The 17616-nt window shown below is 44.6% G+C and overlaps 1 protein-coding gene across 1 annotated transcript, besides 5 other annotated features; it reads right to left on the reverse strand.

The window, feature by feature from the left end:
- Positions 1-676: 676 nt before the first annotated feature.
- Positions 677-11621, reverse strand: S100A10 (S100 calcium binding protein A10). The gene is made up of 3 exons (NM_002966.3): positions 11514-11621; positions 3861-4013; positions 677-1086 (listed from the first exon to the last, which is right to left on the reverse strand). Exons 2-3 carry the CDS (start codon positions 3990-3992, stop codon positions 925-927), a joined length of 294 nt encoding a protein of 97 aa, NP_002957.1. The 5' UTR covers positions 3993-4013; positions 11514-11621; the 3' UTR covers positions 677-924.
- Positions 9661-10860: an enhancer, noted in NCBI's record as "P300/CBP strongly-dependent group 1 enhancer chr1:151964375-151965574 (GRCh37/hg19 assembly coordinates)". NCBI's record gives its function as "activates an origin of replication core promoter dependent on BRD2, BRD4, P300/CBP, MED14 and CDK7 cofactors, with strong dependence on P300/CBP, by STARR-seq in HCT116 cells {active_cell/tissue: HCT116}" and the evidence as "EXISTENCE:reporter gene assay evidence [ECO:0000049][PMID:35650434]".
- Positions 11429-11728: a silencer, noted in NCBI's record as "silent region_1332". NCBI's record gives its function as "represses an Ori minimal core promoter by ATAC-STARR-seq in GM12878 lymphoblastoid cells {active_cell/tissue: GM12878}" and the evidence as "EXISTENCE:reporter gene assay evidence [ECO:0000049][PMID:35858748]".
- Positions 11739-11788: a silencer, noted in NCBI's record as "silent region_1333". NCBI's record gives its function as "represses an Ori minimal core promoter by ATAC-STARR-seq in GM12878 lymphoblastoid cells {active_cell/tissue: GM12878}" and the evidence as "EXISTENCE:reporter gene assay evidence [ECO:0000049][PMID:35858748]".
- Positions 11919-12048: a silencer, noted in NCBI's record as "silent region_1334". NCBI's record gives its function as "represses an Ori minimal core promoter by ATAC-STARR-seq in GM12878 lymphoblastoid cells {active_cell/tissue: GM12878}" and the evidence as "EXISTENCE:reporter gene assay evidence [ECO:0000049][PMID:35858748]".
- Positions 16735-17029: a silencer, noted in NCBI's record as "tiled region #9275; K562 Repressive non-DNase unmatched - State 22:ReprW". NCBI's record gives its function as "represses a minimal TATA promoter and a strong SV40 promoter by Sharpr-MPRA in K562 cells {active_cell/tissue: K562}" and the evidence as "EXISTENCE:reporter gene assay evidence [ECO:0000049][PMID:27701403]".

Genomic DNA, 17616 nt, shown 5'->3' on the forward strand with positions numbered 1-17616 from the left:
CATGGAATTCATATATCACCTCTCCATAAAAGCATAGAGTACTGTGTTATTAATAAGCATATAGCATTGATGCACATATACCCTGAAGCTTCTAACAGGCACAAAAAAGGGCTAGGAGGAACATTTTGCATTGATTATCAAGACATCAGTACTGACACTTCATTTTCAACAAAAGTGTACTGCCCCGTGTATAAGTCATGCCTACCATATTTCCTGACATCTGGGAGTTGACTTAATAGATGCTAATGTGATGTTATTACCAAGGTGTCAAGCTACACCCTCTCCTGATTGGTTCTCCTAGTTCTGCCTTAGGTTTGCTGACACTTTGCTATGAAAATTGGATTCAGACATTGCAGGCATGCAAAGTGCTGGCTAGAAAAGCACTGATTTAACTGGGCAAAACTGTGCCCAGTAATTATAAACTTACCATCTATTCCTGTAGAGCCTTCTCCTAATCCTTCAAGTTTGAGTCCTTCATATAGACACAGCTACAAGGGCAGAACAATTAGAGAAGTCAGACTCCAAGCCTGAATGAAGAGTGTTTTCTCATTTTGCCAGTTCTGTGAGAAAAGCTCTGCTGTGTAAGAAAAGCTCTGCTGTGTGCTGGCTGCCCAAGGGCAAGCTGCCTCTTGGGGAACAAGAATTTCTGAGGGAACAACAAACATTCTGTCTCAAATTTGGAACTAAAAAAGAACTTTATTTATTGAGGGCAAGGGGATGCAAACAATACAAAAATCAAAAGCTTATCTGGTATTTAACTTTTCTTTCTCTGCTTGTCAAATGAGAGTTAGATTTTATTTTTACATTTGCTAAGTGTCCTGATCTGCTCATGAAATCCTTCTATGGGGGAAGCTGTGGGGCAGATTCCTTAAGCGACCCTTTGGGACAACTCTTATCAGGGAGGAGCGAACTGCTCATTTCTGCCTACTTCTTTCCCTTCTGCTTCATGTGTACTACAAAATAGTCATTGCATGCAATGGTGAGGCCCGCAATTAGGGAAAAGAAGCTCTGGAAGCCCACTTTGCCATCTCTACACTGGTCCAGGTCCTTCATTATTTTGTCCACAGCCAGAGGGTCTTTTTGATTCTGAAAAAAAAAAGAACAAAGGCAAGAAATAGAAGTCAAAGGTTGCAATGAGGAGCTTATTTGATTTGTACTGCTGAGAACTGTGTATATATCTCCCAATTACTTGAGCTCTTGTTTTAGGTCATAAGCAACCTTTGGAGTTCATCTAAATGTATTTTTTTTTTTTTTTGCCTTGTGGGAGCATTTCAGTAATTTCATATTTAGATTCTGCCTAAGAACCACCCTAAGCTCCTCATTTTATGGTTTAAACTTACATTCTCTTATTAAAATTTTATTCCTAATGGCATGGTCAAATCCCTTACAAAGGAAACTCCTTATGAAAAGATATTTATGATTTAGGGAATAAGTTTTGGATCACTGTCCTATGGATTTTAAAGAGGTGTTAATGATGCCATGGGTTGGTTTTAGGTTTGGAGAAGGCAGCTCTCATTCTTGGCACAGCTGAGGACAAGCTAGTGTGGCTTCATATCATATTAGCCACGTGATGCTGAGTGAACCACACAGCTTAGTGGGCCTTTGTGTATCAACGATGAATTGAGGAGGTTGGACTATAATGTTTCTAGAATCCTTTCATTCTTTGAGTTGGTAAGTCTATGCCATCCTATACTCTTCACTGGATGTTGTACACTGGACCAGTTTCAAAAGGAGTATGTGGGATGGAGTCTTAAACTCCCCATGACTCTCAGTGCCTGGTAAGAATGTATGGAACAGAGATGGGCAGGCAAGACCCCCTTTGCTTTTATCTTGCTTACATGGTGATTGGCTTCAGCACTCCTTTTTGTAGTGATGCTGGTCAGAAGCGGTAAGGTGTGGTTTTTCCTGTAGGGTCCATGCCATCAACCAGAGAGAGAAATATGGCCTATTTGAGGTTGTTAAAGGGCTCAGGTAAACTATTTATGAATTCTGATGACTATATTCATGAGTGAGGAAAATGATACGCAGTGTTTCAAGTGTGCTAGATGTTTCTAAATTGCACTCAGAAATTCCTAAAAGTATAGCAGCAGCATTTCCCACATGAGCACTGCAAACTCCTACTCTAGCTAAACGTGCTCTATGCAGCTCTTGGTGGGTTTCAGCTAATTCTGGCTTCACCCTCAGCTTCCTGGCTGTGGTCAGAATGAGTGAAATCTGGATGACATAAGAGGTCTACTTTAGAAACAAAATGCTCTGTTAATGCAGTGAGTCTAGATGTTTCCAGAATTATGACTCTGTGCCTGGAATAAATTACCCTGCCATGGTTAGTGCTCCACACTACATATACCCTTTATGTGTCTGATGCCACAAAGCCTTTAGGAAGAAAGGGTCTGTGTCTTACATGATACTCACTCTGGCTCTTAACAACACTCTTAACAAGTGTTTAGTGTACTGAGAATGCCTTTGTCTATAGGACAGGCAGGCTTACAATGAGCACATTTTGTCCTTGCATCTTAATGCTTGTCTTGAATGATCATAGAAAGTGAAAGTGACCTTGCAGATAATTATGTCCAGCCCTCTCTAATTTTACAGGGGAGGAAACTGAAGACTAGAGAGCTGAAGCAACCTGCCCATTGTTAGTTAAGGCAGAGCCAGATCTTCTAACTCCTGGTCTGGGGCTATATCACAGGACTCTACAAAAGCAGAGGACCTGCATATTCTAACTCATTCTGGGATAGCATTAGGTAATAACTGCAGCTCTGAGAGAGCAGTTAGGCTATTTATATCTGTTTATTTAACTGATATTGATGACATACGAATTATAGTATACTAAAAAGCCTCATGTTTATTGATTGCAGGAGTCAGGGGCTGGACTAATGTGCCGTTTACCAGTCAGATGACAAGAGGCAGGACCCAACGTTTTACCGTATCTCCTCTCACCCTTTACAGGTTAATGCATTATTCAACACCAAGCACAGAAACAATCTTTTCAGGTGACTACAATTGTGGTAGGGAAAGAAGGGCTTGCATTTCAGTCTACTATTTTGTCATGCAATGTTGCACCTTCAGTTGAATTCAACAGCCACCTCTCGAGAACCTGGAATATAAAAGGACAACTGTGCCTTGTGGCCCCATGTCCTGAGTGATGTATCTGAGCTGATGGCAGAGTCCTCTTATAGGTCTTCATGCATCTCTCAGTCTGTCAAAGGTGAGACATAAATTCAAACTGCTCCTGTGCTGTCAGAGCATTATTATGTGAAAAGCAGTTATTTCTGGAGTGATATGTGGCTTTTATTCAGTAGATGACTGACACTGCTCCTTTGTAGTATTAGAAAAAGAAAAAACAATCCCTTTATCTGAAGAGATTTAAGAAGGGAGATTCGAGTTGCTCAAAATGGAATGTGACCAGGATGTGGCATCTCCACCACCAGGTTTTTGGACCTGAAGGTAGCCATTTTCTGGTTGACTACTCTTTTGTGAAAAGCTTTCTTTCTCCCAACTCTGTCCCCAACATCGTCACAACAGACACAGATAACCCGATGGAATTTTCCAACAAACAGCTCATATTGTGGTTATTTGTATGCAGTCTTATTTCACCTGCAGACTGTAAGCTCCTTGAAGGTTGGGGCTGTGTCTTCATTACTTTGTTTCCTCAACAGTATCTTACAAATAGCAGGTACTCAATACTATTTAATAAATGAATGAATGAGGTCATTCATTCATTCCTTCAGGTGACTACATTCATTTATTCACTAGTGGTGACCTCCACAGGGAAGGGATGGAAACAAGAAGGAAAAGGAACCAAGGCCTAGAAGCATTGACTTTTATGTCTGGTTCTTTGTAAGCTTTTCAACACTTACTTCCAAAAATCCAGGGAACTCCTTTTCCATGAGTACTCTCAGGTCCTCCTTTGTTAAGTAGCCTTTATCCCCAGCGAATTTGTGAAATGTAAACATCATGGTTTCCATGGCGTGTTCCATTTGAGATGGCATTTTGGTGTGGTCCGTTGAAGCCTATTAAAGGATGTAAAGTAACAGGGTCTACATTAACTTTTTTTGGCAGACTTTATGCATGAATTTATTTTTTTTAAATTGAAAGATAAAATTGTATGTATTTAATGTGTACAACATGATGTTTTCAGGTATATATACATTGTGGGATGACTGAATCTAGCTAATTAACATATGCATTACCTCCCATAGTTAGCACTTCTGTGGTGAGAACACTTAGCCACTCTTAACTATTTGTCAAGAATACAATACATTGTAATTAACTATAGTCACGTTGTTGTACAGTAGATCTCTTAAACTTATTCCTCCTAACTGAAATTTTCAATCTTTTGACCAATAGCTCCTCAACATCACTCAAATGCAATCACCCCAGCCCATTCTATTCTTTAGTTCTATGAAATTCAGTGTTTAAGATTCCACATGAGTGAGATCATCTGGTAATTGTCTTTCTGTGCTTGGCTTATTTCACTAAGCGTAACGTCCTCCAGGTTCATCTTTGTAGATTTACATTAACTTTTAAGCCATATGTATTGCCAGCCTTTTTAGGATAATTGGAAAGATGGAGATTAGATCATCCATCTGATCTTCTCCAGCTTTAAAATTCAGTGAATGAATCTAAGAACCAGTCCACCCCAGTTTGGGTCCCTTGTTGGTAGAAATAGACACCTCAGATACTGGTGCTGTAAATAAAGGGGTTTAGCTAACTCCAGCTAATTTGCATGAATAATCTAATGAAGAATAGAAACTAATAATTTAGAAAAGCAACATCAGTGTTCCTCTTTTTTTTTTTTTTTTTTTTTTTTTTGAGACGGAGCTTTGCTCTTGTTGCCCAGGCTGGAGTGCAGTGTTGTGATCTTGGCTCACTGCAACCTCCGCCTCCCAGGTAGCTGGGATTACAGGCGTCCGCCACCATGTCCGGCTAATTTTTTGTATTTTTAGTAGAGGCGGAGTTTTGCCATGTTGAGCAGGCTGGTCTCAAACTCCTGACTTCAGGTGATCCGCCCACCTCGGCCTCCCAAAGTGCTGGGATTACAGGCCACTGCGCCCGGCCCAGTGTTCCTCTTTTTAACTGACAAAGCACCTACTGAAAGAACAGATAGTTCATAATTTCTCTTGGCACTAGTAAATGGGATTCTTAGATATGGCTGATACTAACAATCCACACAGTCAAGTCTGGTAAATACGAAAACTTCACCCTTCTAAGCTTAAAGTGGTAACTTGGTTCAGTGTGATTCTAGGGTTTAGAAATCTGCTTACAAATGAATTTATCTGCTGGGTATATATGTATTCTTTTTTTTTTTTTTTTTTTGAGACGGAGTCTTGCTCTGTTGCCCAGGCTGGAGTGCAGTGGCGCCATCTCGGCTCGCTGCAAGCTCCGCTTCCTGGATTCACGGCATTCTCCTGCCTCAGCCTCCCGAGTAGCTGGGACTACAGGTGCCCGCCACCGCGCCCGACTAATTTTTTTGTATTTTTAGTAGAGATGGGGTTTCACCGTGGTCTCGATCTCCTGACCTCGTGATCCGCCCACCTCGGCCTCCCAAAGTGCTGGGATTACAGGCGTGAGCCACTATGCCCGGCCTATATGTATTCTTTACTAAAGCTCTGAACTTGTTATTTACTGCAATAAAGACAGTTGCATCTCTGGCAGTAAAATACAGTTGCTCTACCCAAACAGAAAACTACTCAAAGTCCATTGTCTAGTTCACTTGAGAAGCAACAAGTAATACTATAACCTAACTCATTTGAGGGCCTCCTATGTTTTTAGTGACATTAGACAGATGAGCTGCTCTCACAGTCTGGGGTACAGTGGGAAAGCAAGAGCTTTCATCATGAAGCGTTTATAAGAAAGGAAAGGAAACATGTCAGATCATTACATTTGGGTATAATGAACTAGGGGTATATGTCTCACAAGACCCAGTACGTGGTACTTAATAGAACCTCAGTGAATTTTGGCTTAATTGGAAGGAATCATTTGGCGAGAACAGATAAGCTTTGGCTAATATCACCTAAAATCACTACTGGATAGGAAACAGGTGAACGTGAATGGAGACTGTAATATAGCACTAAAAAATAAAAATAAATAATCACAAGAATAGGCTTTGAGCTTAGATTGAAGGGCTGGCAAATTCCTCTGCTGAAGAGCTCTAATGGGAACCTGAGACATGCTTTGGTCTGGTTCCTATCTCTGAGAGATGCCTGTTCAACACTGATTCTCAAATGCTATCTTTTACAGAGGAGAAGGTGGAGTGGGTAAACATGAGGATTGAGCAATTAACACTTAAGAATTGTAAATTCTACCCCTTAATCTCCAGAAAAGTATGGGAACCAGCAGGCCAAAGAATGCTATAAATCAGAATCTGGCATGAGTCATCTGAAAGGCAGTTAGTTATCTTGGAGAGAGCTGCAAATTAATGCTTCAAGGTCTGCTGTGAGATGAATTCCAGGGGAACCACACCCTTTTCCTTCTCTTCTGACACAGCTCAGATCTGGCTCATCCCCCATCCCTCATATGGGTTTCAGATGGCAGTGGGCTTACAGAGAGTCTGCCTTGCCTGGACTGGTACTCCAAGTCCAGCAATTTAAGAGAACTGAACTGGGCGAGTCACCTCTGGGAGAAGGACGTGGGATCCCACCCCAGTTCTTAAATAACTCAGGAAAGGAGTCAGACACCACAGAGGTTTAAAAATACCTGTGCTCAAGTTCAGAGCAGCAGAGCACTTCAGGATCAATTCCCAAAGATCCCAGAAATTGGAACTGGGTGGGGTACCTAGTTTACTTTTTTCAGATGACAGGACAGAAGGAAAGTGCAGAATTAAGAAAGGGAATGCAGCAGGGTAAGGACCTCTAAATTTTAAAAAGGCTAATTTTAGGAGGTTCTAAGAAATACAAGTTGTCAGCTGAGGAAATCCTGGCCACCCTTGAGTATCTTCTTCAGGAGAGCAAGGTGAGTCTACCTCACACTGTGTGAGTGCTTAGGTCTGAAGTCACTCAGTCGCATGCCTCTCTTGCCCACAGCCATTACGAAGTGACGGAGCTTCCTTCTCTGAAGTTACATCCTTCTCCCACTTGGTCTTCCCCTCCCCTCCTCCCCCAGCGGTTTTATTCAGTGGATGGATTGTGAATATTGCAGCCAGCTGACTCCCTGTGTGTCCAGTAGGCCTTCTGCAATAAGGATGCAGAGGAGGGAGTAGCCAGGAGGTGAAAATAGCATTGAAAATCAGTGGAGAAGCCCTTGTCTCCTCAGCAACCAGTACCCCAAAGGGCACTGACCAGGGCCACAGCAAGGAACTCTGTTTTGGGGAAGGAGTTGCACACTGGCTTTAAAATAAGACAAAGGAAAGGGGGAAATGTTGTGATTAAAACTCTGTTCTCTTGGCTAGAGGATGAATCATGTAACTCTTGTCTGAGTGCAGCCAATGGTTGCCCAACTGAGTCAGCCCTGCCTGGCCCTCCGTTCTTGGGTGGGGCTTGCCTGGGCAGGGCTGTCTGCAGCACTGCTAGCTGCCAAAACTGAAGTTCTTCAGGGACTTCAATCTGGCATTTCCACCCTCACGTAGCCACTCTGCAAGCTCTATTCCTGGACAGATGTGGGCTTCCTGCATCCTGGTTAGACACATTTTGACAGGAGGGCCTTGGGGCTGGGGCTGAGGGGCTGCAGTGTCCTCTCTATCCCCAATAACGTACTCTTGCACCTGAAACATTCAATTTCATTTAATTGTTTACTTGTCTGCCTGAGATTTAAGCTTCTCTTGATTAAGAACTACAAATTATTCTGCTTTTATTCATGGAGCACTATATAACTGTTATGTGCATAAATGAACCACACAATCCCTTGGGCAGTAGCTGAGGTGCAGGTGTGATTACCCAGGACTAGGCTGAAAGCCTTGTAGCTCAGAGCTCAGGAGGACGATGTGAGAGCTGGGAAGGGCCAGGAAAGGGGCCCCAAAAGTGTTCAACTATGAACGGAACAGTAGATAGAGTACACAGGAGTGCACATTCCATACGCAAAAGGAAAAATATGTGTCCTGCTAAACAGGTCTAGTCAGAATGACATGACTGTGCTCCTTCTCTTCTAACACTTGCTATTTTCTCGTGTTTCATTCATCCCATCTTCTACTTTTTGCTTTTCTAGTGCTGCTATCTCACTGCTGAGCTCCACAGGATAATAACAGCCTTGCTGTCCACTCACCTTTTATTGAAGTATTCTAATCTGATGCCTATACATGCCCTCTACATGTTTGTCTGAGCAACAGGTCTTAAGAAGGGAGGCGGAGACATCTTTCTCTGCATAGTTTTCTCTATGGAAAACAATTCTGGACTCCACAAATTTAGTTACCTTAGGAGGAATTCAATTTTCCATTTTTGGTTCTCCCTCCCTGAGCACCTACTTTGAATGTCCCAGACATGGTGTTAGGCATGAGGGTGTTCACACACACATACACACATGCACACACACACAAAGCTCTCCATGGTGCTTGCCTTTGAGGAGTTCACCAGCTAATGGAATACTATTAAAGCATTTGGCCTGAATTCTAGTTATTTGTGTTTCTGTTTCTTTCCTCACTAGGTTGCAGGTTTTTTGAGCAGGGTCCCAATAGCCAGTGCCCCAGCCCTCATAGAGCCTGCTCGATGAATTGTTAAGAAATTGATAATGATGTATTTTGGTTGTCCTGCGAGTAGCAGACAAGCAGGAGTCCTCCTCAGAAAAGTGTCTGCTCCTGAAAAATCTCAAATGTTTGCTTTGGACCTATGCCCAGATCCCGGCTGCAGTTTCAAAGAGGACACTTCTGCAGAGTGAGTCGGACTTGCTTTGCTCCTCTGTGTCTTGTCCATACCCTAGTTTTCTTACAGCCCACCCAGAAAATAAACGGCAGGGTGTCAGTAAAAACAAACATCTGTTATTTAAAATATGTTTGAGGTTTCCTTCCTTTTGCTTTAGAAATTTTGGAGTTTTTAAAATTGAACCCAGAAGGCATTCTTAAATTTGATCTCTGAAGGGAATTCAGAAAAAATGAGTTGAAGCAATGGATCTGGATCCAGGCTGTCTCTCTCACCTCTCACCAACTAAAACTTGCCCACTAAAGAACTGGGCAGCAAAGGAACGTTTCAGATGCAATTCAATAGGAAGAAAGAACTTGGAAGAAACCTCCTTCAATCTAACCAACTACATCAATTTTTCCTTAAAGAATGCTTAGGCATCAGCCTAATCAGCCAACATAGCTACTGTCAAAACTGCTTTTAGTTAAATCCTTTGGTAGGATGGGTGGTATTTATTTAGTAAAGGGATAGAAAGTGCTGAAAATTGTTTAAAAGAAGTACATTCTTTCTTTTTGCTTTTGATGTGGATTCCTAAATTTGTTGAGTCCCCAGAAAAATGAGAAACTTAAGATGTTAAAATTTTAGTCCAGCTTTCTCAGCACTTTGAGTGCTAATTTATACATTATAATCCTGAAAGAATTCCATTGTTTCTCTCAACTTTACGCTTTAAAAGACTGGACTGTGTCCAAGGGTATACCAAGTGGGTTGTGCTCTACAAAAGTCACATTTTTTGAACTGTCAGTAGAAAGCAGGGAGGCACACAGTCTCAGCTCCACCCTGACCTCACTGGAGTGGCTGCTTAGGAGGCTGGCCAGCACACGGGAGGAAAGGGGCCTATATGATGTGTCGGAGAAAAGCTAGGAAGAGCATCACCCAGAAAGCAGGGTAAGACCCAAAAATTGCTTCATGCCCAGTAGACCAAAAAAATTGTAAGAACCTAGATAAGAAACTCCAAATGGTGGATCAAGGGCCACAGTGAAGAAACTATCCTCTGGCTGTGAAGGAACAAATACACCATTTGGAAGGGATGATTAAAGAGAAACTGGATAGGAATCTGTGGGGGCAGGGCCGATGAAGAAACTTCCAATAAGTTATATGAACTCATTCCCACTCCAACCCCTGGCATTATCTTTTGCAATTTGCTGAAACATGTTGGAGGCAAAGATCACCGACTGGGTGTTTCCATGAGCCTGGCCTCACCTAAAACGCACAACATAAAACTCCATTCCTGGAGACTGAAACTCAAGCTTCTGGGGAAAAATATCCGCAACAACTGCAAACCTCTTAGCGGGAAAAGCTACCTCCCAAGTAAGGCTGAGGCAGGCTGCCAGGCGCATACTGGCCGATAACGAAAAGCGGTCTCGCCAAGGCCCTGCAGATCTAATTACTGCCCTCACCGGCAGTTCAGTCGAGAAACCTCTCCTGCAGACTGGCAGCCAGACCAGGTGTGACTCACTTCCTCTTGGAAAATGCCCTCTGAGATGGCACAGTTCTCCTTTTCCTTCAGGGAGTGTTCTGTCCAAACCATCCACCGAGAGTATCTGCAACCGGCCACACCCACATGGTCTCACAGCTGAGTCACAGGCCTCAGACCACTGGGAGAATCCTGGAGCCCTTTGTGCTAACCACGCCCTGCAGAAGCTCCCGCAGAGACGGAACTGGGTGGGGGCAGAAAACGGGGTGGGCTTAATGCATCCCAGAATCTGGCTTAGGGCTCCCCTGTGCTGGCCTGGCTTGGAGCGCTCTGCATTCCACCCCAGCCAACAAGGCAGAGCTCCTGGTTTCACTTAGGCAGAGCTGGACTGAGGCTGGACAGGCAGCAGTGTCCACGGCTAGGGGCAGCGCCATTCCTTCGGCCAAAGCACAGGTGGTGAACCAAGTACCAAAGGCACGTCTGTCTGTTTCACTGCACCGGGCCAAATTAATCTATGATTGGAAGATCCTTCATCAAGCCTGCTCTTCCTCCATCTCTTTCTGGTTCCACTTATTAAGACAGCAAGGGAACCCTTTCAGTAGAGAAACCACGTCACACAGGGCCCTCTCCCACAAACCCCAGCCAAACTGCTGTAGAAAGAAAACAAGTGGACCTCCCTCCCTCAGCAGGAAGACCCTTTCCGTCGAGCAGACAACAGGAAGCCCCGACCAGAAACGCCTGTTTGGCCGACGGACTAAGGGTTACGGAAGGGACGCCCCAGCTGCCTACTCGTCCTACCCGCGCCTACTTGGGCGGTACAGCCGGGAGCAGGCTACGAACATGCAGACCCGGCCTGCGAGCGGAACCCACCAAGAAACACGCCAGCCAGGGCAGGGGCGTGTAGGAGGGATTCGGTAACCCGAGAGACGAGTGGGAAAGTAGGAAAGGTGGGAGTAAAGCAACGCAAACATAAAGGGAGGAGGGAAGAGGTTCAGGCGCACCAATACCACGGTCCCCTCCTAAAGAACAAGTGCCCCCTCCTCTGGTCCGCGTGGGTCTGGGGGCGGCCGCGCCCGGGCCGGGGAGGGGCGCTGCTGGCCTCGTTTGGGTGTGGCCCGGAGCACTGAGCAGCGGATTCCCCACCAGCCGCTCCCCGCCCAGCCCCGCGGTGCTCCGGACGCCCCGCGAAGCCGGGTGCAGGGTTTTCCCCGGGCAGCAGGTCCGGGCCTGGGGACTACCCAGGAGGGGCGCGTGGGCCGGGCGGAGCTCACCTTGGCCGAGGCGCGGCGGACGCTGGGCGAGCTGGGCGAGCTGGACGCGGGGCGGAGAGGCGAGCGCGGCGGGCTGTGCGCCTTCCTTAGTACGTGCGGCGGGTGGGTAGAGGGAGGCGGCGCGGGAGCGGGAGGAGCCTGGCGGGCGCTCGGCAGGGCGCTCCCCCAGCCCTGTCTCCTCCCCCTCTTCCTGCCCCCGACTCCCCCGACCCCGGGCGCGCGGCCCACGCCCTGCCCTCGCTCCCGGACCCGCCTCGCAGAGGCCTCGCCCGCCCCAGACAGAGCGTTCTTGTAAACTTCTCTTCAGTAGAAACGGTCCTGCTCTCGAATATTTCAGGGCATCCCCACCCTGAGCCTGCCCTTCCTCTCGGGTTTGGTTTTAGAAAGTGTACAAATCAAAGAACCCGGCCGTCCTGCGGGTGGGGCACGCTGGCGCAGAACCAGAGGTAACCGGCTCTGCGGCCACCTACGGGTCTAGGAATTACTTGCTGGATGACCCTGCAGGGAGTGGCACGTGGAGTCCTATCGACCTCAGAGGCACTATCAGATTAGCCCTAGGAGGTCCGTCTGGGGGTCTCGGCGGCCTGCGCCAGTGGAGGGGCGGCACCTCCCCAGAAGCCGGGCTTCCCGCCCCACCGGCCCGCGAGGTGCCGCAGGGAGGGTGCGGTTTGGCTTGTCAGCACCCAGGGGCGTCACAAACCCTTTGTTGAACAGGGGATTTACCCCTTTGTGTGGCGTCACTTGATCAATAGTTCAGTTTCAGTGTGGCTAATAGTGTTAAAAACTGGCCGGGCGCGGTGGCTCACGCCTGTAATCCCAACACTTTGGGAGGCCGAGGCGGGCGGATCACCTCAGGTCAGGAGTTCAACACCAGCTTAGCCAACATGGTGAAACCTTGTCTCTACTGATACAAAAATTAGCCGGGAGTGGTGATGCGCGCCTGTAATCCCAGGAGACTGAGGCATGAGAATCGCTTGAACCTGGGAGACAGAGGTTGCAGTGAGCCGAGATCGCACCACTGCACTCCAGCCTGGGTGACAGAGTGAGACTCTGTCTCAAAAAAAAAAAAAAAAAAGAAAAAAGAAAAAAAGAAAAGAAAAAGGTTAAAAACTAAGTTTCCAAGGCAGTATGCTGTGGTCCTTGAAAAGTCCTTTAGAAGAATTTTCTGGAATAAATTTAGAGAAAACCTAAGTGTTTCCTAGGGGATGCTTACCAACTCCTCGCCCCTCCCCCGCCCGCCCTCTTTTATTTTAATTGTGACTCAGGGTTAAATACAAACTACTAGCAGCTGTTGGTGGAAAAGAGCCCAATCCCAAACTCTGGGGTTTTCCTTTGTTCCCAAGGGAGGCCTTGGGAGGAATGAATGATCCTAAAGGAATGAGCAGACCTGGGGAATCCTCCAAGTGCCACCTCTGACTAATATTGGCTGTTGCCAGGAAAACCCAACTTGGATTTCAGCTATTACTTTCCGTGCAACCCTGGTGCTGACTATTCAAGGGGACAGCTCTTCAAGATCTTCCTGTATACAGTACTTCCCAGTCCCCAGGTCACAGTCACCAGTGGAGGAAATCTCGGATCCCTTTTGTTGCAGGGATTGCAATGCGACTGGGTTTAGAATGGGAATGCCTGGGTTTGCGTACCCCTACTCATCTGATTTCTTCATCTGGTCCACAGACCTTAGGAGTGCTTTAGTGTATGTGGTAGGCCTGGGAATTCAGGGATTAGAGAATCAGTCTCTTTCTCTGAAGAGTTCCAAGTATTGGGCGTTAGATAAGCAAACAATTAAAATCCAGTGTGCTTAGTGAATGGTAGAGGATACTATTGGATACTAGGAGAACACTGAGGAGGGGCTTCCAAGTCCTCTTGGAGTGGTCACAGAATAATTTCTGCAGGAAGCAACATTGGGTAGAAATTTAAAAACAACAATAACACTTATTGTAACTTTTTAATCTGTACAAAGATTCCATTCTTAGAAGGCTTGGAAAATATATCAATGTATAAAAAATGATTTATAAATACATGAGCCAAAGATAAACATTTTCATATTTCTAGTCTTTTTATGCATATGTAACAAATATTTGCATAATTGTGATCATACTGATTATAAAATTAAGTACAGTCATTCACTGCATAACAGTGTTTGAGCCAACGATGGATCATGTATTCAGCAGTGGTTCCATAAGATTATAATAGAGCTAAAAAAATTCCAGTTGCCTAGTGACCTTGTAGCTGTCTAGCGCAATACTTTACTCATGTGTTTGTGGTGATGCTGGTGTAAACAAACTACTGTGCTGCCAGTTGTATAAAAATATAGCACATACCAATTATGTGTAGTATGCAATACTTGATAATGGTAATAAATGACTGTTACTGCATTATGTATTTACTACACTATACTTTTCATCATTATTTTAGAGTGTATTCCTTCTACTTATTAAAAAAACAGTAAAACTTAAAAAAAAGTTTAAAAAACAGCCTCAGGCAGGTCTTTCAGGGGGTATTCCAGAAGAAGTCATTGTTATCACAGGAGATGTGTGTTTTTGCCCTGGAGACCTTTCAGTGGGACCAGATGTGGAAGTGAAAGACAGTTATATTGATGATCCTGACCCTGTGCAGGTCTAGGCTAATACGTGTGTTTGTGTCTTAGTTTTTTTTTTTTTTTTTGTGTGTGTGTGTCTTAGTTTTTAACAAAAAACTTAAAAAAAAATAAAAATTTTAAAAATAGAAAAAACTTACATAAGAAGGATATAAAGAAAGAAAATATTTTCTACAGTTGTATAATGTGTGCTTTAAGCTAAGTGTTATTACAAAAGAGTCAAACATTTAAAGAATTTACAAGTTAGGCTGGGCGTGGTAGCTCACACCTGTAATCCCAGCACTTTGGGAGGCCGAGGCGGGCGGATCACGAGGTCAACAGGTCAAGACCATCCTGGCCAACGTGGTGAAACCCCATCTTACAGAGAAAGAACTAGCCGGGCGTGGTGGCACGCACCTGTACTCCCAGCTGCTTGGGAGGCTGAGGCAGGAGAATCGCTTGAACCCGGGAGGCGGAGGTTGCAGTGAGCCGAGATTGTGGCAGTGCACTCCAGCCTGGAGACAGAGTGAGACTCCATTTCAAAAAAAAAAAAAAAAAGAAAAAGGAAAGAAAAAGGAATTTCCAAGTTTATAACGTAAATTTACAGTAATCTAAGGTTAATTTGTTATTATTATTTTGGTTTTTTGAGACAGGGGCTCCCTCTGTCGCCCAGGCTAGAGCATAGCAGTGTGATCTCTGTTCACTGCAACCTCCGCCTCCCGGGTTCAAGTGCTTCTTGTCCCTCAGCCACTCGAGTACCTGGGATTACAGGCATGTCCCACAGCGCCTGGCTAATTTTTGTTTTTTTTAGTAGAGATGAGGTTTCACCATGTTGACCGGGCTGGTCTCGAACTCTTGGCCTCATGTGATTCACCCATCTTGGCCTCCCAAAGTGTTGGGATTATAGGCATTAGCCACTGCATCTGGCTAGGTTAATTTATCATTGATAAAAGAAAAACTGTTTTAAACATAGTGTAGCCTTAAGTGTACAGTGTTTCTAAAGTCTACAGTAATGTACAGTAATGTCCTAGGCCCTCACATTCACTCACTACTCACTGACTCACCCAGAGCAACTTCCAGTCCTGCAAGTTCCATTCATGGTAAGTGTCCTATTTGTATAGCATTTTAAATCTTTTATACCATATTTTTACTACACTTTTTCCATGTTTAGGTACACAAATACTTACCATTGTAGTACAATTGCCTACAGTATGCTATTCAGGGTTGTAGCCTCAGAGTCCTCGACTGTACCATACAGCCTAGCTGTGTAGTAGACTATGCCATCTAGGTTTGTACAAGTACATTCTATGATGATTGCAGGATGAAATCGTGTAAGGGCACATTTCTCAGAACGTATCCTCATCATTAAGCGACACATGACTGTTTCTATTTTTGTCCCATACTTTTTCCTTTTGTTCTTACTCTTTCCTATGTTACTAAATATTTATCAAGATCATATGTTTATTCATTTAAATCATTCTTTTCACCTTTTTATTTGACAAGTAACTGTTCAACTGTACTGTACTGTGTCTTCTTTTTTCTCTCTTCTCCAATCTGCCAGCAGAACTCTAAGGCCCTAGTGGGTGCATCTCCAGGAGGATGCTGCAGGGTTTCTAAAACATTGTGCTGAGTACTGGGAATACAGTGATGAAAATGGTCAGCACACCTTGCTCTTCCTGGCCTCATGTGGTTTCTTAATGACTCTGTGTACTAGCAGGTCCATAAAGCTTCAAGTATCAGCCATGCTTATAGTCTCTCTAGGAAAAGGGGTCCCAGGCAGTTCTTTCTCCAGGAAGTAGTTATACCTTGTCAACTACATGCATTCAGTGAAGCCAGCTCTGCTTCCCTAGAGAAAACTGATGGCATCAGGGACCAGTGCCTAAGCCTGAGCTGCCCAGCAAGGATAGTGTCTTAGCAGGAGGGTAGCCAACTGAATGGCCACTGGAGGAATGAGAGCAGAGGCCCCATCCATGTGGTCTCTGAAATGATGAGAAAGCAATGTTCAAATCTTCTACCAGGGCTGAAGTAGGTTCCAATGTACAAAATGTTGGGAGCTGGAGAGATTGATCCACTAGTGAGGCAGTATTGGGAATTTTACCACTTCTCCATGTGGCACAGCCACAAAATCCTATTACCCTCAACTTTTTTGGGTTTGTGGCTGTGGCACAGAAGGTGGGCTATCTACCAGAAATGTGTGTTCCTCTTTTCATTGTGTAGAGTTTTGGCCGCTCAGCTAGGGATTATATTTCTACCACCTCATACCCCTAGGTAGGACTATGTGACTAGCCACCAACACAATGGGACTGGAAGTGATATGTGTCACTTGCAGGCCAAGGCAGTAAAGAGGTGACTTTCCCATATTCTTTCTCTCCACCTGACAGGACTCCAAGGCTCTAAGGATGGAAGAGTCATAATTGGAAAGAGCCTGGGTACCTGAATCACTGTATGGAGGAAAATCACTTGCTGAGCAGGAACATCCTCATTGGACTAGCTATGTGGGTGAGAAAGAACCTTGGAATTTGAATGTTTATTTGCTACAGCATAACCTTAACAAAGTGCTGGTATTGAGTGCTAGTATTTTTGGCTGCACATTTGAAAGGATTAATTTGCATGTGTAGTAATTACACTATTATACTGATGACACCTCAGCATAGTGTCATTGTTTGAGCAGAACTACTTACTGCCCTGGTCACTCTTTTAGATACTTATGAAGCAAAGTTCACACAGGTCTTAGCAAATGCATAGTGTCATTGTTTCTTGATGTGTATCAAGCTGTGCCCTGTACCACATGGAAACCTGTGAAAACCCAGCTCAACATTCTGTCTGCCCAGACACCATGTCAACAGCATGAATCATAGTTGTATAAACTTTACCTACCAATTGCAATACCTTGGGAAGGAGTCTTAGCACTTCTTCCTGCCTCCTCAGTTGAGAATCACTGATTTACAGTGATCTGGTCAAGACTTTTTGCTGGCAATCCAAAAAGGAAGACAAACCAACCAACCCAGGTATGGCTGTATTAGTAGCCCCTAAATAGGGAAATCCTATAATTTGTTAAACATTTCCCATATTTTTTTGAACATTTCGGTTGTTTCTAATTTTTTACTGTCAAAGCTAACTATATATCAGAGACTACTTTTGAATAAATATATCTGCCCTCATGTTTGTTTCCTTATGATATGTTTCTATCAGGACCTATCTTTTTTCACTTATTTATGTGGATTTTAAGGGACAAGTAGGAATAAGCCCCATTGTGTGGGGGCAGACAGGAGGGAAAGGCATGTGCCTGATGGAGTTGTGAGGTACTATGTCTGTGCCAGGAACTACCTGCTGTTCTGCATGAGGAGAGTGCAGCGTCCTTTAGAGTCTTGGATGGGGATGAGTCTTGAGAGAAGGTGTCTTTCCTGGGGTGCCTGAGATATTCTGCTAAGGAGTTTCCTAAGGTAATAAGAGCCGCTAAAGAATGTGAAAAAGGGCATTATTAGCTGCATGGCTCTGGGCAATTCATTTCACCACTATGAACCTGGG

Source organism: Homo sapiens, chromosome 1 (assembly GCF_000001405.40).
Source record: "Homo sapiens chromosome 1, GRCh38.p14 Primary Assembly".
Classification (NCBI taxonomy): Eukaryota; Metazoa; Chordata; class Mammalia; order Primates; family Hominidae; genus Homo; species Homo sapiens.

Excerpts from the sequence above, each read along its gene's own strand:
- S100A10 (NM_002966.3), bottom strand. The coding sequence starts at position 3,992 with ATGCCATCTCAAATGGAACACGCCATGGAAACCATGATGTTTACATTT. Across the intron at positions 1,087-3,860 it reads AGTTCCCTGGATTTTTGGAA|AATCAAAAAGACCCTCTGGC; the intron begins GTAAGTGTTGAA and ends TTTTTTTTTCAG.